This window comes from Homo sapiens, chromosome 3 (assembly GCF_000001405.40).
Source record: "Homo sapiens chromosome 3, GRCh38.p14 Primary Assembly".
Taxonomy (NCBI): Eukaryota; Metazoa; Chordata; class Mammalia; order Primates; family Hominidae; genus Homo; species Homo sapiens.
The window spans coordinates 49,480,220-49,504,917 of record NC_000003.12 but is presented as its reverse complement, the minus strand read 5'-3'; the positions used below and the strand labels follow the sequence as shown (position 1 = coordinate 49,504,917).

At 45.6% G+C, this 24,698-nt stretch overlaps 1 protein-coding gene across 55 annotated transcripts in view; it reads right to left on the bottom strand.

The window, feature by feature from the left end:
• The window catches only part of DAG1 (dystroglycan 1), a 66,668-nt gene that overhangs the window by 30,698 nt on the left and 11,272 nt on the right, over positions 1-24,698 (bottom strand). For 11 of the 55 annotated variants that reach the window (XM_047447574.1, XM_047447572.1, XM_047447571.1 and 8 more), the window contains 2 exons: positions 17,503-17,664; positions 16,173-16,292 (listed from right to left, as the gene is read on the bottom strand). The exons of 15 other annotated variants lie outside the window; for them this stretch is intronic. The gene's annotated coding sequence lies outside the window, so the exon portion shown is untranslated. Of the gene's footprint in view, positions 1-11,944; positions 12,096-16,172; positions 16,293-17,502; positions 17,691-17,750; positions 17,821-24,698 lie in introns of all 55 variants that reach the window. 29 more of the 55 variants (XM_047447558.1, NM_001438881.1, NM_001438887.1 and 26 more) reach the window with 13 other exon arrangements.

Sequence of the window (24,698 nt, the reverse complement as noted above, 5' to 3'; positions counted from 1 at the left end):
GGAATACAGCTGGGCACAGTGGCTCACACCTGTAATCCCAGCACTTTGGGAGGCCGAGGCGGGTGGATCACGAGGTCAGGAGATCGAGGCCATCCTGGCTAACATGGTGAAACCCCGTCTCTACTAAAAATACAAAAAAAAAAAAAAAAAAAAAAATTAGCTGGGCGTGGTAGCGGGCGCCTGTAGTCCCAGCTACTCAGCTACTGGGGAGGCTGAGGCAGGAGAATGGCATGAACCCAGGAGGCAGAGGTTGGAGTGAGCCGAGATCGTGCCACTGCACTCCAGCCTGAGCAACAGAGTGAGACTCTGTCAAAAAAAAAAAAAAAAAAAAAAAAAAAAAAAAAAAAAAAGACTGTATTGGTGGAGGGACAGATACATAGACAAATGGAATATAATAGGGAATCCAGAAATAGACATACACAAATATACCCAAGTGATTTTTGACAACAATGCAAAAGCAATTCAACGGGGAAAAAATTGCCTTTTCAACAAATGGTACAACCCAGATGTCCTTCAATGGGTGAATGATTAAACAAACTATGGTACATGCATACCATGGAATACTAATAAACAATAAAAATGAATGAACTATGGATACGCTCAACAACTTGGATGAATTTCCAAGCAATCTTGCTAAGTGAAAAAAAAAAGCCAACCCCAAAAGGTTACATACTATACTATATAGTTTCATTTTTATAACATTCTTGAATGACAAAATTATAGAAACAGAGAACTGATTAGTGGGTGCCAGAAGTTACAGAAGGGGGTCAGACTGTGAAGGAGGTAGATGTGGCTATAAAAGGACAACATAAAATATCCTGTGGCAATGGAAATGTTCTGTACCTTGACTATACCATTTCCAATATCCTGCCTGTGATATATATTGTACTATATAGTTTTGCAAGATGTTACCATGGGGGGAACTGGGTAACTGTACATAGGATCCCTCTTCTAACAACTGTGAATTCACAATTATCTCAAAAAATCTTTTAAATCTTAAGATAAATTTGAATTTGAATTTTAAATCTGACACAGTAAGACTCTGTCTCAAAAAAAAACCTTTAAATTTCTTTTTTCTTTTTTTTTTTTTGAGACAGGGTCTCACTCTGTGGCCCAGGCTGGAGTACAATGGCACAATCACAGCTCACTGCAGCCTCGACCTCCCGGGCTCACGCGATCCTCCCACCTCAGCTTCCGAAATAGCTGGGACCACAGGCATGTGCTACCACACCTGGCTATGTTTTTGTACCTGTAGAGACAGTGTCACCATGTTGCCCAGCCTGGTCTCAAAATCCTGGGCTAAAGCAATCCACCCACCTTGGCCTCTCAAACTTCTGGGATTACAAGCATGCGCCACCAGGCCTGGCCAATAATTTTTAATGACTAAAGGACACCTTAAAGAAAGAAAAAAATGGCTAACCACAGGCTGGGAAAAAGCTTTTTCAATGCATGTGATAGGTAATGAATCCTTATCAAAAAATATCAAGCAACCTAAAACAATAAAAATGGGCTGAAGATAGGAAGAACGAACCAACAAGTAATTCACAGAGAAGAAAACCTGAATAGCAGTAAACTTACAAAAAGGATGCTCAACCTTACCAATAATCAGGGAAAAGAAAATTAAAGTAACAGCAAAAACCTTTCCACACCAATCAGATGGGCCAAAATGTTCCAATGTGACACCACTGAGGGAACAGGACCACATGGCTGTTGGTGGGAGCTGTGAGCTGCCCTAGCACCCTGGAGAAGACTCACCATGTAGCTGGGCCCTTCCACTCCTAGGCACACAGACAGGAAAGTGCAAACATATATGGAGAGATGGCATACGCATGTTCACTGCAACACTGGAAAGTTAAAAACAATCCTAATGTCCATGTACTGGAAAATATATCAATAGGCTTTCATGGAATATCATGGAACTCTGTAGGACAATTAAAAAAACTAAAACAAGTATCAACATGCGTAAATCTCAGAAAGTGCTGGCCGGGCGCGGTGACTCATGCCTGTAATCCCAGCACTTTGGGAGGCCAAGGCGGGCAGATCACAAGGTCAGAAGTTCGAGACCAGCCTGGCCAACATGGTGAAACCCCGTCTGTACTAAAAATACAAAAATTAGCCAGGTGTGGTGGCGGGCGCCTGTAGTCCCAGCTACTCGGGAGGCTGAGGCAGGAGAATGGCGTGAACCCGGGAGGCGGAGCTTGTAGTGAGCCGAGATCGCACCACTGCACTCCAGCCTAGGCGACAGAGCAAGACTCCGTCTCAAAAAAAAAAAAAAAAAAGAAAGTTAAAGATGTCTTACAATTTAGCACGATATAGTTTGATTGATTCCTGTCATCAATGTGAGATAAGTAATAGGTAAAACATTGTCCTCTTTCCTCTCTACTACCTTGTTCCACACTCCAAGGCCCATGGGACCAGGTGGCTCACAGGATTTCAGACCCATTCCTCCGCAGGAACCTTCCCTCCCTGCCATCAGTAGATGGCTGGGTCACTTTTGCCCACCACAGGCTCACCAGCAATGTTAAGTGCCACACTCAGCAAAAGGGACCAAATGACCATGTACATAGATGGAGGAGCCCTATGGGCATCAGTTCCAAGAACCATTTAACTTCCAGTGATGTCTGAGGGGTCCTCCACCAGGAACTCCTTCTCAACAACCAGCAGTCCCAGTACTCTGGTGAGGGTCTTCTCCTCAGATCTCTATAAAGTGCTCCAAGTTGAAGGTTTTTCTTCAACTCTTTTCTGTGTAGTTTTTGTTTTGGTTTTTTGGTCACCCAGGCTGGAAATGGTGTAATCACAGCTCACTGCAGCCTCAACCTCTGGGCTCAAGAAAACCTCCTATCAGCCTCTCAAGTAGCTGGAACTACAGGTGTGCGCCACCACACCAGGCTAATTTGTAAATTTTGTTGAAGAGATACAGACTATATTACCCAGGCTGGTTTCAAACTCATGGGCTCAAGCAATCCTCCTGCCTTGGCCTCCCAAAGTGTTGGGAACAGGCGTGAGCCACTGTGCTTGGCCTACAGTTTTCTTTACTGTTGCATAGTGTTTTCTTTACTGGCCTTTTCCTTTCTTATGCATTTTAATCCTTTTTTTTTTTTTTGGAGAGGGAGTCTCACTCTGTCACCCGGGCTGGAGTACAGTGGCATGATCTCGGCTCACTGCAACCTCTGCCTCCCGGGTTCAAGCAATTCTCCCTGCCTCAGCCTCCCAAGTAGCTGGGACTACAAGCACCTGCCACCACGCTTGGCTAATTTTTGTATTTTTTAGTGGAGACAGAGTTTCGCCATGTTGGCCAGGCTGGTCTTGAACTCCTGACCTCGGGTGATCTGCCCACCTCGGCCTCCCAAAGTGCTGGGATTACAGGTATGAGCCACCATGCCCAGACGCATTTTAATTCTAATTTAGTAAATGGCTCAGCTCAACCAACACCCCCACAAGACTATAAGTTGTGGGAGAGCAGGGATACATCTGTTGCAATCACTAATATGTGCCCAGCACTCATCCAGTGCCAGACATACACCATACACCTAATGAATGAATGGGGAGACACAGGACCTTTTTTTCAGGTTCTTCCCATCATCTTTAGTCTTTACTTCACTTATTAGATCCAGCTGATCTTTCACTATTCCAATCTCATTCTCAATTTTAAAATTCTCAGCTTATTTAAAAACAGTCAGTTATGAGACACACCCTGCCCTACCAGGAACTTAAGCTGTCTGCTATCTGCGGACACATGACGACATGGGGTGTCTGTTTCATGGGCATGACTAAGTGCTCTGCATTTAGCAGGCAGGCGATGTTCAGGGCACAACTCCAACTACTATGTGTTGGTTTTCCATGCTCTAAGGAGAAAAATTTTTTGCAACTTGGTAATAAAACACCCTTTTGTCTTTCTGATGCTGGCTTCCTATAAGCAAGGGTCATGTCTGCCTGTGCTAGGAATCTGATAGGCTGCATCCATATACTTGTATCAGAATGTCCCTCTGGAAGTTTTTTTTACACAGTCTCATACTCATACACTCAGTCATTCAGATAGAGACGCTACAGAGATCCTCCTCCTCGTGGTTCAGAGACCAAGGTCCAAACAGAGGTAAATACTCAGTCGTGGTCACATACAGCTTGGTGGCCAGAACTTGTGGGAGAAAAGAGTGCTTGGGAACCACAGAAAGATTCTGGCAAGATTCTGGCCACAGCCACCTAGTCTTCCTGACACAGCTACCCAATTTAACACCTCACACTCATTCACATTATATCCTCTAAAAGAGAGTAGGAAGTGCTCAAGGCAGCCCAAGAACATGTCTTAGCTGGATTCACCACTGGCTGACAGGAGCTACAGAAGCTCTTTTTCGAGTAGTGGGAATGGGAACCTTATTCCTCTGTGCCAGCACCCAGTGCAGTACCCACAACTGAGTCTAAGCTCTCAGCACTGCCCCAGACCCCAGACCCTGAGACTCACTGCAGATAAACACCCTCAGCCAGAAGAACCAGAGCTAGTTGGGGTAGGGCCAGTAAGTGGCTCGCATCTGCCAATGACCAGGCACTCCCTTCCTCCCAGTTGTGATATGTGGGACTCTCAAGTGATGGGCAGAAGTAAAATGTCAGGCCAGGTAGGTGCAGTGGCTCACGCCTGTAATACCAGCACTTTGGAGGCTGAGGCGGGCAGATCACGAGGTCAGGAGTTCAAGACCAGCCCGGCCAACATGGTGAAACCCCATCTCTACTAAAAATACAAAAATTAGTCGGGCATGGTGGCGGACACCTATAATCCCAGCTACTCGGGAGGCTGAGACAGGAAAATTGCTTGAACCCGGGAAGCGGAGGCTGAGACAGGAAAATTGCTTGAACCCGGGAAGCGGAGGCTACAGTGAGCCAAGATCACACCAGTGCACTCCAGACTGGGCGACAGAGCAAGATTCTGTCTCAAAAAAAAAAAAAAAGAAGAAGAAGTAAAATGTCAAGTTATCAATAATACCTAAAAGGTAGTGACCTTTGTAGCCAAAATATATTAAAGCTACCCTAGAGGCAGGTATATTTAAAGTTTATCAGATCAGTCATCAGGGATATAACTAGGAAATCAAAAACATTATACAGTAACTGGCAAGGACACCAGGCATCCAAGGGTAAGGTTCAGCAGGTAAGGATCCCACTGGCCCCTCCCATCACCACCACCAATACCATCCCCCAGGAAGATGCAACCAAAGGATGTTGCTTGGTGGGAGGAAAGGGGAGATGCCCATGAGGAGCCAGGCCCTTATGACCCCATTCTGTCCAGACAGCCTTATGGAACAGGCGGCTCTGTTCCACTCAGGCTGCCTCCCCAGAGCTATGAGTGCCCACGCACACAGGGAACTCAGTTAATAAATGCTTTCCACTCAACAGATGTGAAGAACAAATGCACATGGGGCACCAACTCAATTTGCCATAAACTTAATGTTTCCTCATCCATAGAAAAACTCACAGTGAATGAAACTTTCAGATATATATATTTTTAAGTACCTCTGTTTTTAGTTTTAAGACAGGGTCTCACTATGTTGCCCAGGCTAGTGTGCAGTGGCTATTCACAGAAACAATTATAGCTCACCAGCCTTGAACTCCCCAGTGATCCTCCTGCCTCGGCCTCCCAAATAGGAGACTACAGGCACAGGCCACTGTACCCGGCTCTGAAACTTTCACACATCTTAACCTAAAAACTCTGAAACAACAGCTCTCTATTAGTTTTTGCTTCCCAAGAATAAAAGAAAAGTTGGGAGACTCAACCCATTATTAACCACACAAAATTTGGCAGAGGTAGCCCATCCCACCACTCCTAGGAGCCCCTACTCCCAAATAGCTACGCTACCTAAAAATAGTAGTTAAGCTGTTAAATTGCTATCATTTGCCACAGTCATTAAAACATTTAAGGAATGGCCAGGTGCAGTGGCACACACCTAGAATCCCAGTACTCTGGGAGGCCGAGGTGGGCAGATTGCTTGAGCTGAGGACTTCAAGACCAGCCTGGGCAACGTGGCAAAACCCTGTTTCTACAAAAAAGTACAAAGTTCAGCCAGGCATGGTGGCGCATGCCTGTAATCACAGCTACTTGGGAGGCTGAGGTGAATGAACTGCTTGAACCCAGGATGGTGAGATTGCAGTGAGATTACAACACTGCACTCCAGCCTGGGTGACACAGCAAGAACCTATCTCAAAAAAAAAAAATTAATTAATAATAATAATAATAAAGAAAATGGGATATTCATTTTGAAACCAGATTAAAATAATAAAATACCATGTTCCTATTTTAAATGGTTTTGGAAAACATAAAAAGCAGAAATATTAACCACTTCAGGTTCAATCTAGCAAAAATCACTTTGACAAGTTAAATATTAACTGTCAGTCCAACATTAATATAAAGTTTCTGAAAGGTTAACCAGTTTAAAACTGCTCAATATCATGGCCAACAGGATGTACTCAACACAGTGGAAAACAGTGGTGTGAAGTCATTGTTTATTTGAGCTCCAAATATTAAAAAAAAAAATGGCAAATGTCTCTGCTTCTAGTTAAAAACAGGCCTTTTTGACTCCTTGGCGTCAGATGAGAAAGGTCTGAAGTCAAGTGACTGGTGAAGATTCAAGGTATCACCCTAAAATTAAAAGTGCTCAGTTCAGGGGACAGATAGGGTTTCCCTGACATGGGACAGGTTCCTACCTAAACTGCAGGCAATGTGGAAATACCACCAGTGATATGGAGGGAGCCCCAGGACCATCAGGGAGCTGGAGGACCAACCAAAGGGAGCCAGGGTCACATATACAGCAAGAGATTTAAAGGTAAAAATACGTGGGAGAAAAAATACCACCCCTGAGAGGCAAGCACTACACATTCTATCAAACATAAAAGCTACTTTGAACACTTCTCTCACTTGGAAAATTCTTACAAATTCTCACTTATCACAGATAAACAAAGGGCAGTGGCTTCTGCTGGCGGTGGTTTGGTTTTTTCCAACAAAGACAGAAGCAAAGGTTTAAAACCTAGGTATAAATCCACCCAGGTGCAGACATGTTCTAGGGAAAGGGAAGAAAAGCAAGGTTCAAAACCCAGAACAGTCATTCTCCACTGAACCATGGCTTTTAATCTGAGTAGATTTTAACATGGTACGTAATGGGGCTCACTGAAAGAATTCCTTCTACATTCCACTGAAGTCCATACACTGCGTTAAACATTATTTATTACCGAACAGTATACTTGACTTTGAAGATGGTTAAGTTTTATATTGTGTTTTTCACAATTTAAAAAGGTGGGTTTGGGGTTATTTTTATTTTTTTTTTGAGAGACAGTCTCTCAATCTATCCCCCAGGGTGGAGTACAGTGGTACAGTAATAGCTCACTGTAACCTCAAACTCCTGGGCTCAAGTGATCCTTCTGCCTCAGCCTCCCACAACTGGGACTACTGGTTCACAGCACCATGCCTGGCTCATTTTTTAATTTTTTTTTTTTTTTTTTTTGAGACGGAGTCTTGCTCTGTCACCCAGGCTGGAGTGCATCAGCACAATCTCGGCTCACTGCAACCTCCGCCTCCTGGGTTCAAGAGCTTCTCTCGCCTCAACCTCTCCAGTAGCTGGGATTATAGGTGCCCACTATGACGTCCAGCTAATTTTTGTATTTTTAGTAGGGATGGGATTTCACCATGTTAGCCAGGCTGGTCTTGAACTCCTGATCTCAGGTGATCTACCCACCTCGGCCTCCCAAAGTGCTGGGATTATAGGTGTGAACCATCATGCTCGGCCATTTTTTAGTTTTTATTTTGTAGAGACAGGGTCTCACTATGTTGCCCAGGCTGGTCTCAAACTCCTGGTTCAAACAATCCTCCTGCCTCAGCCTCCTCTAGCACTGGGACTATAGGGACAAGCCACTACAGCCAGCCCCTAAAAAAAACATTTTTAATGGTTAAGATGGTATATTAAAATATAAGCCTGGACAACATAGTGAGACCCCCATCTCTACAAAAAAAAATTTAGGCCAGGCATAGTGGCTCACACCTATAATCCCAACACTTTGGGAGGCCGAGGTGGGTGGATCACGAGATCAAGAGATGGAGACCATCCTGGCCAACATGGTGAAACCCCATCTCTACTAAAAATACAAAAATTAGCTGGGTGTTGTGGTGCATGCCTGTAGTCCCAGCTACTCAGGAGGCTGACACAGGAGAACTGCTTGAACTTGGGAGGTAGAGGTTGCAGTGAGCCGAGATTGTGCCAAAAAAAAAAAGAAAAAAAAATTTAGGCCGGGCACAGTGGCTCATGCCTGTAATCCCAGCACTCTGGGAGGCCAAGGCAGGCGGATCACAAGGTCAGGAGTTCAAGACCAGCCTGGCCAATATGGTGAAACCCTGTCTCTACTAAAAATACAAAAAAAAATTAGCCAGGCGCAGTGGCACACGCCTGTAATCCCAGCTACTCAGGAGGCTAAGGCAGCAGAATTGCTTGAACCTGGGAGGTGGAGGTTGTGGTGAGCCGAGATCGCGCCACTGCACTCCAGTCTGGGCGACAGAGTGAGACTCCATCTCAAAAAAAAAAAAAAAAAAAAAAGTTAAAAATTTAAAAAATTGGCCAAGTACGTAGGCATGGACCTGTAGTCCCAGCTACTTGGCCTGAGGTGGGAGGACTGCTTGAGCCTGGGAGGTTGAGGCTGCCATGAGCCATGACTCCACCACTGTGCTCCAGCCTGGGTGACAAAGCAAAATAAATAAATAAATACACCATCTTTATGTTATGTATATTTTGCCACAATATTTTAGAAAACATTACTTAGTTACACCAATTAGACTTCAGAAGAAAATACTTTAGGAGGCTTTTAGGGGCATATCCCCGTGATGACATGGTCCAGTACTTTAATCACCAGTGCCCAGGTAAGACACTGAAGACAGAAAAGGATAAACTGAGGCCAAAGATAAGGACCAGGCCAAACCATCCATTTGGGGTTTTTTTTTTTCTGTTTTTTTGTTTTTGTTTTTGTTTTTTTGAGACGGAGTCTCGCTCTGTCGCCCAGGCTGGAGTGCAAGTGGCACGATCTCGGCTCACTGCAAACTCTGCCTTCCGGGTTCAAGCAATTCTCCTGCCTCAGCCTCCTGAGTAGCTGGGGTTACAGGTGCCTGCCACCACGCCCAGCTAATTTTTGTATTTGTAGTACAGACAGGGTTTCACCGTATTGGCCAGGCTGGTCTCGAACTCCTGACATTGTGATCCGCTCGCCTCAGCCTCCCAAAGTGCTGGGATTACAGGCATGAGCCACTGTGCCCGGCCCTAACTGTCCATTTGGCTGCAGCAGCTAGAGTAGGAGGTGGAGAGGTGGTGGGGGAATAAGTCTGAGAGGTGGGTGGCCAGCCTCAGCAGAATCCAAGTGGGAATGAATTACCACACCCTTGCACCCGCGTTGCATCAAAAAATGCAATTAAAGCAAACTACAATTCTCTGAAGACAGCCCAACAATTAACACTTCAGCACATGTTTACCAACTACCTACCCTGTGCTAGGTGTGAGGCTTTATTTGCTATAGATGCAGTCTTTCCAAGTTTCACACAAAAATATTCAATTAAGATTTATATACATTACTAAATCAGGAAACACAAGTGGTAACAAACCAAGTATTTATACTAATACATTATAAACAGACATTTTCCAAGTGCTTACTCTAATAGAAACTGAAAGTTGCCTTCTGACTTCCCCAAACTCCCCCTGGCTATCCCATCCCCTCACCAACTCAGTACAAAGGTACAGTGGGGCTACCCTGTGGGGGCTGGATGATCAGTGTCTACTGGGGGTCAAGGCTGGATGCCAATGGTTCCCTTGAGAGAAAAGGGGGAGAAGAGGTCCACTGCAGGGGTCTTGACAGCATTGACTCTGCTGCTTTCTCTCCCAGTAGATGCCTGGCACCAAGCAGGTACTCAGCAGATGCCCACAGAGTACAGGAAAGGAAATTCCACTAAATCCCCTAAATAATTCCCCAAGCAGCCAAGCGCCGGTGGCTCACACCTGTAATCCCAGCACTTTGGGAGGCTGAGGCGGGTGGATCACAAGGTCAAGAGATCGAGACCATCCTGGCTAACATGGTGAAACCCCGTCTCTACTAAAAATACAAAAATTAGCTGGGCGTGGTGGCAGGCACCTGTAGTCCCAGCTACTCGGGAAGCTGAGGCAGGAGAATCGTTTGAACCTGTGAGGCGGAGGTTGCAGTGAGCCAAGATCACGCCACTGCACTCCAGCCTGGATGACAGTGCAAGACTCTGTCTCCAAAAAAAAAAAAATAATAATAATAATTCACCAAGCATAAAGGCAATGATCACTTGATTTCACACTTTGAAGTTCAATGCTGAGCTTTCTGGTATTTTTTCCATTACACTACGAAAGATTAAAAATAAGTGCCATAGCTCAAAATTAATATGCTAATCTAGCAATGATGAATTAAATTTAGAAAAAGTGTGCTGGCTGGTGGCCTTTCTGACCTAATTGGCCAATTAGACTCCAAAACAGAGGAGTGAGGCGAAATGTCAGGGAAGCTCCAGGCAACCCAGCCCTTGACCCTGCCAGCAGCCCCTGTAATAAAGGCCTGGGACCCTAAGCACAATGCCTCAGGAGCCAAACAGGTATGTGGGAATTCTGGCATATTCACTGCAGAATATTTATCTAGGCAAATGCTTCAATCTTCAGTGTTTAAAGTGGTGACTTGCTTTTAGCCACATTCTTGTTTTTGGCTACATTCTTAATGCTCAACCATCAAAAATATTTCACCCATGCCAGGAACTGCCATATCAACACACTGTGTTTATAAAAGAACAAGACAAAACTACCACCCACTCCCTTTGCTCAGGTTTTCCTTCCTGCTAACAGAATTCCTTCCCTCCCACAGATGGTTCTAATTGGCCCTTTTACCTGCTTCAGCCTTGCCACAGCTACAAATTCTAAAAAATCACAAACTTCTCTGACGTACTTCCAAAAGCTAGAGCAGAAGAGCCAAAAGACATTCTTCCATTCTCGCAATCCCTGCTCTGCAAAGCTACAGCCATTCTATGACCAGTGAAATGGTGGGCCAGGCCAACACTATGGACAGGGATGCCCACCACATCTGACTTCAGAATCAGGCTTGCATAGAGGTGCATCAGAAAGCACCAGTTCCCAGTGACCTGGTGAACGCAAGGCTCCTGGGCTAGGCCCCACTAGCTCCCACATTGCTGGCCTTCCCCAGCAAAGGATGTTGGGCTGCTTGTTAAAGACCACAGCACATACCTGGAGATATGTCCAGTTCAGGCTCTTCTATACAAAGTAAAATCAAGTAAATCCATTACTCTCAAGCGCTTTCCTCCTCCTCAAAACTTCAAGGGATCCTCAGAGGCTGTCAGCCACACAGAATTTACACCCAGATTAACAAGACTGAAGAAATCCTTAAAGATGCCCTTGCTCTCAGCTTCTTCTGTCTCCATCTCTTTTCTGTGATCTTTGATCATTCTCTCAGCACACAGGAAAAAGTGGGATTCCATTCCATACTAATTATTTGGAAATTAATTCTTGCATTTTAGAACCCAAGGATTAAAAATGAAAAGCAGGCAAGGCACAGTGGTTCATGCCTGTAATCCTAGCACTTTGGTAGGCTAAGGTTGATGGATTGCTTGAGCCCAGGAGTTTGAAATCAGCCTGGGCAACACAGGGAGACTCTGTCTCTACAAAATATGAAAAAATTGGCTGAGTGTGGTGACGCATGCCTATAATCTGAGCTACTCAGCTACTGAGGTGGGAGGATCGCTTGAGCCTGGGAGGTTGAGGTTGCAGTGAGCCATGATCATGCCACTGCACTCCCGCCTGGGTGACTGAGCAAGACCCTGTCGTCTCAAAAAAAAAAAAAAAAAAAAAAAGAATAAAAATAATGATTTGCACAAAGATGGGAAAGAAATTCTGCAGGGCATTTATGTGCTCACATTAGAAGCCAACTGAAGATACATGAGAAATGAAGATAAAGCATCTGAAGAATTAAGCTGTGGGTTGGTGGGATCTCCATCCGCCTGAACTGTAGGAGTCAATCCATGCCTGAGTAGCCCAACCTGGAAATTCAGGAGATCCCAGGGCTATCTGGAAGAAGAACACACCTTCCATGCATCAGCAGATTAAGGCCACCACTGAAAAGTACCTTGGAGCTGCTACTCCACCTCCCCATCCAGTACTTAAAAATATATAAATTATAACAGCACCCTTTTGATAAGATGGAAGATCTCCTGCATTTATCTCTTTTTAAATTTTCCTTTAAAGATGCAGGGTCTCACTCTGTTACCTGGGCTGGAGTGCAATGACACGATGATGGCTCACTGCAGCCTCACCCTCCCAGGCTCAATTGATCCTCCTACCTCAGCCTCCCAAATAGCTGGGATTACAAACATGGCACCACCACACTTGGCTAATTTTTTATCTTTTGTAGAGATGGGGCCTTACCACGTTGCCCAGGCTGGTCTCAAATTCCTAGGCTCAAGCAATTCTCCCACCTCAGCCTCCTAAAATGCTGGGATTACAGGCATAAACCACCACATCCAGTCCAAATCATTATTTCAACTGGCAGCTAACTACTTAAAGGTCTTATTTTGTAAATAAAACATTTATTTTATGTATTGTTATGTATCTGTCCAGTGAATCTTAAATCAAAAGTTCTGTGGTCTTAAGAATAGACTTGGAGCCAGGCGGGGTACGGTGGCTCACGCCTGTAATCCCAGCACTTTAGGAGGCCAAGGCAGGCAGATCACAAGGCCAGGAGTTCGAGAACAGCCTGACCAACATGGTGAAACCCTGTCTCTACTAAAAATACAAAAATTAGCTGGGCTTGGTGGCCCATGCCTATAATCCCAGTTATTCAGGAGGCTGAGGCAGAAGAATTGCTTGAACCCGGGAGGCAGAGGTCGCAGGGAGCCGAGATCTCACCACTGCACTCCAGCCTGGGCAACAAAGTGAGACTCCGTCTCAAAAAAAAAAAAAAGAATAGACTTGGGGCCAGGCGAGGCAGCTCACGCCTGTAATCCCAGTACTCTGGGAGGCCAAGGCGGGAGGATCACTTGAGGTCAGGAGTTTGAGACCAGACTGGCCAATGTGGCGAAACCCCGTCTCTACTAAAAATACAAAAATAGCAGGACAGGCCGGGCGCGGTGGCTCACGCCTGTAATCCTAGCACTTTGGGAGGCCGACGCGGGCGGATCACGAGGTCAGGAGATCGAGACCATCCTGACTAACACAGTGAAACCACATCTCTACTAAAAATACAAAAAATTAGCCAGGCGTGTTGGCGGACGCCTGCAGTCCCAGCTACTTGGGAGGCTGAGGCAGGAGAATGGCGTGAACCCGGGAGGCAGAGCTTGCAGTGAGCAAGATCGCGCCACTGCACTCCAGCCTGGGCAACATAGCAAGACTCCGTCTCAAAAAAAAGAAAAAAAAAATAGCAGGACATAGTGGCAGGTGCCTATGATCCCTGCTACTTGGGAGGCTGAGGCAGGAGAACTGCTTGACCCAGGAGGCAGAGGCTGCAGTGAGCCAAAAACACGCCACTGCATTCCAACCTGGGCGAAAGAATGAGACTCTGTCTCAAAAAAAAAAAAAACAACTTGGCTGGGAGCGGTGGCTCATACCTGTAATCCCAGCATTTCGGGAGGCTGAGGCAGGAGGATCACTTAAACCCAGGAGTTTGAGACCAGCCCCGGCAACATAGTGGGACCCCATCTCTATTAAAAATAGAAAAAAATGCCAGGCGTGGTGGCTCACGCCTGTACTTTGGAAGGCTGAGGCAGGCGGACCACCTGGGTCAGGAGTTCGAGACCAGCCTGGCCAACATGGCGAAACCTGTCTCTACTAAAGTACAAAAATTAGCCAGGCGTAGTAGTGCGCGCCTGTAGTCCCAGCTACTCAGGGAGATTGTGGCAGGAAAATCGCTTGAACCTGGGAGGCAGAAGTTGCAGTGAGCCAAGATCGTGCCACTGCACTCCAACCAAGACAACAGAGTGAGACTCCGTCTCAAAAAAAAAAAAAAAAAAAAAAAGAATTTAGGAGTAGGCCAGGTTGTGGCTCATGTCTGTAATCCCAGCACTTTGGGAGGCTGAGAAGGGCAGATAGCTTGCACTGATGAGTTTGAGACCAGCCTGGGCAACATGGTGAAACCCCATCTCTACAAAAAAATACAAAATTAGGCCAGCATGGTAGCCTGCACCTGCAGTCTCAGCTACTCGGGAGGCTAAGGCAGGAAGATCGCTCAAGCTTGGGAGGCGGAGGTGGCAATAAGCCAAGATCTCATCACTGCACTCCAACCTAGGTGACAGAGCAAGACCCTGTCCCAAAAAAAAAAAATAAAAGAATAAAAAAATTAGGAATAAAGAGGCATGATTTCTGTCAATTACTCATAGATGGTTCAGAAAAAAAGGTATAGATAGAAAAGAGAATGACAGAGCAAACACAGCAAAATGCAAACAAATGGTGACTCTAGATGGAGTATTTGGGAGTTTCTTGAATTATTCTTGCAATTTTTCTGTAAATTTAAAGTTATATAAAAAAAAAAAACTTTTTTTTTTTTGAGACAGAGTCTCACTCTGTCGCCCAGGCTAGAGGGCAGTGGCGCGATCTCGGCTCACTGCAAGCTCCACCTCCCGGGTCCACATCATTCTCCTGCCTCAGCCGCCCAAGTAGCTGGGACTACAGGTACCTGCCACCACACCTCAGTAATTTTTTCTATTTTTAGTAGAGACGGGGTTTCACCGTGTTAGCCAGGATAGTCTCGATCTCCTGACCTCGTGATCCGTCTGCCTCGGCCTCCCAAAGTGCTGGGATTACAGGCGTAAGCCACCGCGCCCAGCCAAAATGGAAAAAAACAAGTGGTAAGAGAAAGGAACACGGGTCATGGTCCAAGCCCCCTCTCAGGACGTCCATGCCAAAGCAGGTGTATGTACCAACAATTGTGAAGCAGTCAGCAGGTAAGCTCTGTAATCTGTGACAGCTATATAACCCTCCCCCTACCCCACCCCACTTACCTCAAACCCCAGCGCTTTGTCCAGTAGGAATCTGGATTCCAGGCACTAATCCCCCAGACAGCATGATTCAAAACACATACCCCACCAGGTCCCAAGCCCTCCCAAGTTTACGAAGGGAAGTGAGGATACTTTAAAAGCATTTTCCTCTAGAAACATTACAAACACAAAATATACAAAAAAAGGATTTTGTTTTAAAAGTGACTTGGGTTATAATGGAAGAAAATGTCACACTAGGGCCCAAAATTACTACATTGAGCTATGTTTTCTTAAGATTAAAAATAGATTCTATCTTCCCTTCCCAGGAACCTTCCCTCCTAGAGGAAAAAAAACCCAAATCAGATCATTACCAAGTTAAGAGGTCCCAGAGCTAAGGGCAAAATGTGGGCACGCTGCATCCAGTGTTTCCCAGTATCCGATTCCCTACTATTGGTTCCCAGTCTATCTCACAATGATGTCATCAACTATCTGGTCCTCCCCTTTGACTTAATGCAATAAAAGTAATTCAAGGGCCAGGCACGGTGGCTCACACCTGTAATCCCAGCACTACTGGAGGCAGAGGTGGGCAGATCACCTGAGGTCGGGAGTTCGAGACCAGCCCGACCAACATGGAGAAACCCCTTTTCTACTGAAAATACAAAATTAGCCAGGCGTGGTGGCACATGCCTGTAATCCCAGCTATTCGGGAGGCTGAGGCAGAATCGCTTGAATCCGGGAGGCAGAGGTTGCGGTGAGCCAAGATCACGCCATTGCACTCCAGCCTGGGCAACAAGAGCAAAACTGTGTCTCAAAAAAAAAAAAAAGGTAATTCACATGGAGGTAAAATAAATTCCAACACCACACTAGGACACAAATGAAAAGCAGGTCTCCTTCCCAGGTCCTCAGGTGAGCAGACTGAGTTTCTTCAGTAGCTCTCCACAAATGACACATTGAATGTATATCTCTAAACACATAAACAAGCACATCTCTTTTAATTTCATTCTTAAAGTTCAAATGAAATCAAATTCTTCAAAACTGTTCCTTTTTTGCCGGGCGCAGTGGCTCACACCTGGCAAGCAGATCATAAGGTCAGGAGTTCAAGGCCAGCCTGGCCAACATGGTGAAACCCCGTCTCTATTAAAAATATAAAAAATTAGATGGTCATAGTGGCACGCACCTGTAATCCCAGCTACTCAGGAAGCTGAGGCAGGGGAATCGCTTGACCCTGGGAAGCAAAGGTTTCAGTGAGCCAAGACCGCGCCACTGCACTCCAGCATGGGAGACAGAATGAGAATCCCTATCAAAAAAAAATAAATAAATAACCGTTCCTTTTTCTAATTTAGCAGAACTGAGAGACCTCAGCCCCAGTGGGTAGATCCTTCTTCTCATTCACCCCTATTGTGTGTGGCACATCTAAATGTCTAAGTATCTTGCATATCTTGCTCTCCAGGGTGTTCTCACACTCATCCTTGCATTCTTCTTAGAACATATCTAAGGATATAATCCTAGATGTGGAATTGCTGGGTCAAAGGATATGTACATTGGAATTGTTAGATTTGGCAAAATGTCCTTCAATTTACACCCTCACCTAAAGATACAAACGACTTTTCTCTTATTTTCACTAACATTTAAGTATTGTCAAACTCTTTCATTAATAACATAAGATGGAAGAGGAAGGAGGTGGGGCAGTTTGAAACAACATGAGACAGCAGTTTGCCCTGCCCTTATTGTTTGATTAATGGGCATGGTGGGCAGCAGGTGTCATAAATTCAATCTGGGAGTAATGGTACTTAATAGTTAGCCAGAATGATAATACAGGAGGGTGAGCATCTAGACAACTAATGAATCAAAACATGATGCTATGTTTTTCTAGTAAAACTTGAGTACCTCAGGAAAATTGCTATCAAGAATTTATGGGGCTGGCCGGGCGTGGTGGCTCACGTCTGAATTCCCAGCACTTTGGGAAGCCGAGGCGGGCAGATCACGAGGTCAGGAGATCGAGACCATCCTGGCTAACATGGTGAAACCCCGTCTCTATGAAAAACACAAAAAATTAGCCGTGTATGGTGGCGGGAGCCTGTTGTAGTCCCAGCTAATGGGGAGGCCGAGGCAGGAGAATCGCTTGAACCCGGGAGGCGGAGGTTGCAGTGAGCCGAGATCACGCCACTGCACTCCAGCCTGGGTGACAGAGCACGATCCCATCTCAAACAAAAAAAAAAAAAAAAAAAAAGAATGTATGGGGCTAATTACTCCAAATAATAACAAATATGTAGTACTGTTGTTGATTCCATGTGGTTTCCTCCCAGGTATCTCTCTGAACCAAGGCACCTCCTGGGCCAACCCCAGAAGAACTCAGGGCTCAGGGGTAGTGAGAACACAGATACAAGTGCTGAGCACATGAAGGGCAGAAGAGGGAAGCTAGAGAGTAACTTTGGTTCTCAAGTCTAACCTTTATATTGTAGTTTCACTGTTCTGGAAAACATTAACATTTTCTAAATTCATATTACCAAATTTAAGTTTGTTGCCTGTTGTCCTACTGAAGACAGGGTCTGGGAGGAATGCAGGAGCCCAGCTGTTCTGTAGCTTGCACCCTCCAGGGTCTTGACGTACTGGGGGAAGAACCGTCTGTCCTAGGCCAGTGCAGCCATCTGGGATAGACAGTCGTGTGCCTAGGCAAAGAGGAAGAACCCCATCTCTACAAAAAATACAAAATTCTCAATAATTAAAACATCAGGCCGGGCACGGTGGCTCATACCTGTAATCCCAGCACTTTGGGAGGCCAAGGCAGGTGGATTGCTTGAGCAATCCAGGAGTTCGAGATCAGTCTGGGCAACACAGAGAAACCCCATTACTACTAAAAATACAAAAATTAGCCAGGCATGGCACACGCCTGTAATCCCAGCTACTGGTTAGGCTGAGACAGGAAAATCACTTCAACCTGGGAGGCAGAGGATCCAGTGAGCCAAGATCACACCACTGCACTCCAGCCTGGGCAACAGAGCGAGACTGAATCTCAAAAACAAAGCAAAACAAAACAAACAAAAAAAATCAAATACTATATATCTAACAGTTCACTCTTAGGTATATACCCAGAAGACACCGTCAAGAATATTCATATCAGGCTGAGCGCAGTGTCTCACGCCTGTAATCCCAACACTTTGGGAGGCTGAGGTGGGCAGATCACCCGAGGTCAGGAGTTCGAGACCAGCCTGGCCAACAGGGTGAAACCCTGTCTCTACTAAAAATATAAAAATTAGCCAGGCGTGGTGATGCACACCTGTAATCCCAGCTACTTGGGAGGCTGAGTTAGGAGAATCACTTGAACCCACGAGGTGGAGCTTGCAGTGAGCCGAGATCATGCCACTACACTCCAGAGTGAGACTCTGTCTCAAAAAAAAGAAAAAGGGCCGGGCGCGGTGGCTCACGCCTGTAATCCCAGCACTTCAGGATACTGAGGCAGGAGGATCACAAGGTCAGGAGATCGAGACCATCCTGGCTAACACGGTGAAACCCTGTCTCTACTAAAAATACAAAAAATTAGCCGGGCGTGGTGGCATGCGCCTATAGTCCCAGCTACCAGGGAGGCTGAGGCAGGAGAATGGCGTGAACCTGGGAGGCGGAGCTTGCAGTGAGCCGAGATAGTACCACTGCACTCCAGTCTGGGCGACAGAGCAAGACTCCGTCTCAAAAAATAAATAAATAAATAAATAAATAAATAAATAAATAAATAAATAAAAGAAAAAGAAAATAGTGGTATAAATCTCTCTTGCAGAACATTCAGCCCTCCCCTCACCACCCTGGCTTCTGCTGGCAGTCTGACACCACTCCTACAGGCAGTTCCAGAGCAGTGCCTCCCCAGGCCTCTCCCAGAGCACAGCCCATGCCTCCCTGACTCTGGAATTCCTTACATTCTCCTCCTAAAGGACAACCCTCAGAAAGCTTGGATTCAAAACAAGAAAACAGGCTGGGCATGGTGGTTCACACCTGTAATCCCACCACTTTGGAAGGTTGAGATGAGAGGATCACCTGAGGCTAGGAGTTTGAGACTAGCCTGGGCAACATAACAAGACCATGTATCTACAAAAGGAAAAAAAAATAGGCTGGCATGGTGGCACATGCCTGTAGTTCCAGCTTTGCAGAAGGCTGAGGCAGGAGGATTGCTTAAGCCCAGGAATTCAGACTGCAGTGAGCCATGATCATGCCACTGCACTCTAGCTTGGGTGACAGAGTGAGACCTTGTCTCAAAAAAAAAAAAAAAAAAAAAAGAAAGAAAACAAAAACAAAACCTGATCTACCACATTAGGTCTAAGCAACCTAAGTAGACATAAAGATGAAAAATCTGAATTTGGCTTCAAAATTATTTATTTACAAAAATGAAATTAAATGTGAAATAATAGCAAAACAAACAAAAGTACCACAGGCACATGTTAAGTGTCCCAGTACTAGAGAAAGGCTTGATAAATTCTGGTATATTACATGACATTTCTAGGGCAACTTCCACCTCAAAGACTCAGGCCACGGTTTCAGGGTCATTACAACAAAGATAAAGGCCAGACACAACAAAGGCCTTTTGTCTCCAAAAGGTTGCAGTGAGCCAAGATCGCACCACTGCACTCCAGCCTGGGCGACAGAACAACACTCCGTCCTTGGCCGGGTGCGGTGGCTCACGCCTGTAATCCCAGCACTTTGGGAGCCTGAGGCGGGCAGATCACGAGGTCAGGAGATCAAGACCACGGTGAAACCCCATCTCTACTAAAAATACAAAAAAATTAGCCAGGCGTGGTGGCAGATGCCTGTAGTCCCAGCTACTCCGGAGGCTGAGGCAGGAGAATGGCATGAACCCGGGAGGCGGAGCTTGCAGTGAGCCGAGATTAAGCTACTGCACTCCAGCCTGGGCGACAGAGCGAGACTCCGTCTCAAATAAAATAAAATAAAATAATAACAATAAAAATACAAAAATTAGCCCAATGTGGTGGCGCGCATCTGTAATCCCAGCTACTCGGGAGGCTGAGGCAGGAGAATTGCTTGAACCTGGGAGGCGGAGGTTGCAGTGAGCAGAGATCGTGCCATTGCACTCCAGGCTGGGTGACAAGAGCAAGACTCCGTCTCAAAAAAAAAAAAAAAAGCAGCAATGGCTTCCTGAGCTCCCAACCCCTTGGCACCCAGTGACCACAGCAAACTGGGCACAGAGACCACAGTAAGCCTGACACTGAGGCAGAGGACTGTGCCTTTGGGTACAGCCCACAATGGACCCCATTCTTCCTGGAAGCCCATAGCAGGATGGAAGTGAGGAGGCCAGGACATTCCTCCACCCCCTCACACAGATGTAAAGGGCACAGGCAGCTCAGGGCAGCAGAGCCCTCCACAGGAAGAAAGCATACGGAGCCATTTTTATCTTCAGCTATTAGAATCAAAAGGAGACTCTCTTCTCCAAAATAACAGAGGTACCATCTGATTAAATCAGGTAATCAGGTGGCCTACATAGGATATCCCTCTCTAGTCAGCAAAGTCCAACTAGAAGGGAAAAAGGCTCAGGGCTCTGAAGAGACAGGGGTCCCCACAGGACCTGTCAGGTTAGGGCTGGCACTACAAGCAGAAGAACCAACGTCTCCTGCTAAGATTTCTCCCCTACATGAAAGAATCTGGTCACTTTCTAACTACTTTTAAAATTGGAAAAAGCACATCCTCAGACTTGCAAACACAATGTTTTAGGACCATACTGTTGACCCTTCTGACAAAATATTATTCTATTTTCTAGGTAAGCAAACGCAACAGCTGGTAGCACAAACCCAAAGCAGAAGAGAGTCAGACAGGAATCCTACTGTTATCTATTTGTGACTTTAATGAATTCTATTTTTAGGTCTTTAATAAAGAGCCTCTCTTCTACTCTCTTCCTACCAAATTTCTCCACTCAGGCAATTCAATCGTTCCAACACTGCTCAAAAGTCTAAAAATATAAGACACTTCTGGGCCGGGTGTGGTGGCTCACGCCTGTAATCCCAACACTTTGGGAGGCTGAGGCAGGAGGATCCAGCCTGGGCAACATAGCCAAGACCACATCGCTACAAAAAAATTTAAAAATTAGCTGGGCATAGTGGCACGTGCTAGTAGTCCCAGCTACTCAGGAGGCTGAGGTGGGAGGATTGCTTGACCCTAGGAGGTCAAGACTGAAGTGAGCTATGATTATGCCACCACACTCCAGGTAGGCAACAGGGCAAGACCCTGCCTCTCAAAAAACAAAGAAAACACAATTTCTTCAATCATACCTCACATAAGAGGTAGAACTTACTCATTTTCTCCAAGACTTAGAATCCAGTCCCTGCTCAAGGGCTACTCATCAGACTGGTCTCCAATATAAAAAATCCTAGACGGCAACGTATCCCTGACCTCTGGCAGATTGGACACAGAGGTGACCTACAGTCCAGGCATGGTGGCTCACGCCTGTAATCCCAGCACTTTAGAAGGCCGAGGCAGGCAGATCATCTGAGGTCGCAGTTTGAGACCAGCCTGACCAACATGAAGAATCCCCATCTCTACTAAAAATACAAAAATTAGCCAGGTGTGGTGGCGCATGGTGTATCATTCCAGCTACTTGGGAGGCTGTGGCAGGAGAATCACTTGAATCTGGGAGGCAGAGGTTGCAGTGAGCTGAGATCACGCCACTGCACTCCAGCCTGGGCAACAAGACTAAAACTGTCTCAAAAGAAAAAAAAAAAAAAAAAGATGACCTACCAGCCCAAGCAGGAGTGTTTACAGGACATTTACAGTAATCACATGCATGTTTTATGGAAATATTCCATAGTAAAATCAGGGCCCAGAAAATGGATGTTATCCCAGGTTCTGATTAATAGCCAAATAAAAAGGAAATCTTATTTGGAATTCCATTATTGACTGGATCATTTTTCTTGGCAAAAGCTAGCTAGAGAATCAATCTATCCCTGGAGAACAACTGAGCTAATTAACAGAGGTGTTTATGACAACCAAGGCAGAACTGGTTCACTTCTGCCCTAGACAGCCTTGGGAATCTTAAGTAAATCTCCCATCAACCCCTAGGATGCCTGGGGGGGAAATCTTCACAGCACAGTGAAAAGGCTAAACACAGATACCTACAAAATCAAAAGAATTTGATTCCAATTCCACTACTTTGTTTTAATACATTTACAAACTCTTCCCTCGGTATCCATGAGGGATTGGTTCCAGGATATCAAAATCCACAAGTGCTCAAGTCCCTTATATAAAATGGTGTAATATTTGCATCATAATAAGGACAAAAACATGTAAGCAATAGAATCTACGTCATAATTAAGTTTAAGGGAAGGTACTGTGACTGGATGGACGTACACATAAGCCAGATTTATGTTTCTCTCCACCCAAACATCTCAGTGGAGTAAAGAATAACAAGGCAGCATTGCTGCAAACATGTCTCGCCTCCCCCCATAGGGCAGTTTTTCTCCTATCTCAGAATTGAACAAATGTACAATCAGGTTTTACACGGAGACATTCAGTTCCCAAGGGCAGGCAGGAGACAGTGGCCTTCCTCTATCTCAACTGCAAGCGGCTTTCCTCTTTTACTAATCCACCTCAGCATAGACCCTTTACAGGTGTCGGGCTGGGGGAAGGTCAGGTCTTTCTCATTCCACGAGGCTATATTTCAGACTATCACATGGGGAGAAACCTTGGACAATACCCCGCTTTCAAGAGCAGAGGTCCCTGTGGTTTTCCGCAATGCACTGTGTCCCCAGTTTATTGAGACTAGAGAATAGCGATGACTTTTACCAAGTATACTGCTTGTAAACATTTTGTTAACAAGGCACGTCCTGCACAGCCCTGGATCCCTTAAACATCTTCCTGTATACTTTAAACATCCCTGGATTACTTATAACACATAATACAATGTAAATGGTATGAAAATAGTTGTTCTAACATTTAGGAAATGATGACGATGATAAAAGTTTATTCATGTTTCATACGGACGCAACCATCCTTTTTTCCCAAATATTTTCAATCCATAGTTGGAGGAATCCACAGATGTGGAACCTATAGATACAGAAAACTGTGTACCGATTAGGAGAAAGAACTCTATAAGAGGTGCTTGTTTGTAGATTCTCATACCTCATATACAAAAACAACATCTATAGAAATGAAGAGTAAATGCCAAAACAGGGAATCAAGCTGGGCACTGGCTACTGTTTCCCTGAATACGACATATCCTTCCAAGTGCTTCATTCATCCTTGAGCTCCCCACAACTGGCACACTCCCCTATACTTAGGGTATCCAAGGGCCATGACTGCCTCAGCAAGAATGAATCTGTGGCTCCTCATGTCCCCAAGGGCAGGGAACACTGAGACTAGGTCTCCACATGGCTATAAAAATCACAAATCCATGCAAGTCACAGAAAAGGGACTACAGAAAACGTGCACAATACTTAAAAATAAAAATCAGTACAAATCTGCCTTACTTGACATTGATAAATGTGCTTCTACAAAACTGTAAATCACAATTCACTTTTTTTTTTTTTTTTTTTTGAGGCAGAGTCTCACTCTGTCGCCCAGGCTGGAGTGCAATGGCACTATCTCAGCTCACTGCAAGCTCTGCCTTCCAGGTTCACGCCATTCTCCTGCCTCGGCCTCCAGAGTAGCTGGGACTACAGGCGCCTAACACTACGCCCGGCTAATTTTTTTTTTTTTTGTATTTTTAGTAGAGACGGGGTTTCACCATGTTAGCCAGGACGGTCTCCATCTCCTGACCTTGTGATCCGCCCGCCTCAGCCTCCCAAAGTGCTGGGATTACAGGCGTAAGCCACTGCGCCCGGCCACAATTCACTTCTTATGATACAAAAAACTTTTAAAAAACTTTATGCAGGCCGGGCGTGGTGGCTCACGCCTGTAATCCCAGCACTTTGGGAGGCCGAAGCGGGCGGATCACGAGGTCAGGAGATCGAGACCGTCCTGGCTAACAGGGTGAAACCCCCTCTCTACTAAAAATACAAAAAATTATCCAGGTGTGGCTACAGGCAACTGTAGTCCCAGCTACTCGGGAGGCTGAGGCAGAAGAATGGCGTGAACCCGGGAGGCGGAGCTTGCAGTGAGCCGAGATCGTGCCACTGCACTCCAGCCTGGGTGACAGAGCGAGACTCCGTCTCAAAAAAAAAAAAAAAAAAAAAACTTTATGCAGAGATGTTAATTGCAACATTATCTATTACAACCAAAGTAAGAAATAACCTCCTTCCTGTAGGAAATAGCTAAAACAAATAATAAGAAGAAAAACAAAAAAAAAGAACCAAACTGTCTAAGAATTAGGGACAGATTAACCATTAGAAATGTTATATGCGCCGGACGCAGTGGCTCACGCCTGTAATCCCAGCTCTTTGGGAGGCCAAGGCGGGCGGATCACGAGGTCAGGAGATCGAGACCTTTCTGGCTAACAGGTCTCCTGGCTAACACAGTGAAACCCCGTCTCTACTAAAAAAATACAAAAAATTAGCCGGGCGTGGTGGCAGGCACCTGTAGTCCCAGCTACTCGGGAGGCTGAGGCAGGAGAATGGTGTGAACCCAGGAGACGGAACTTGCAGTGAGCCGAGATCGCGCCACTGCACTCCAGCCTGGGCGATAGAGCGAGACTCCGTCCGTCTCCCAAAAAAAAAAAAAAAAAAAAGAAATGTTATATTCATGACCAGGCACAGTGGCTCACGCCTGTAATCCC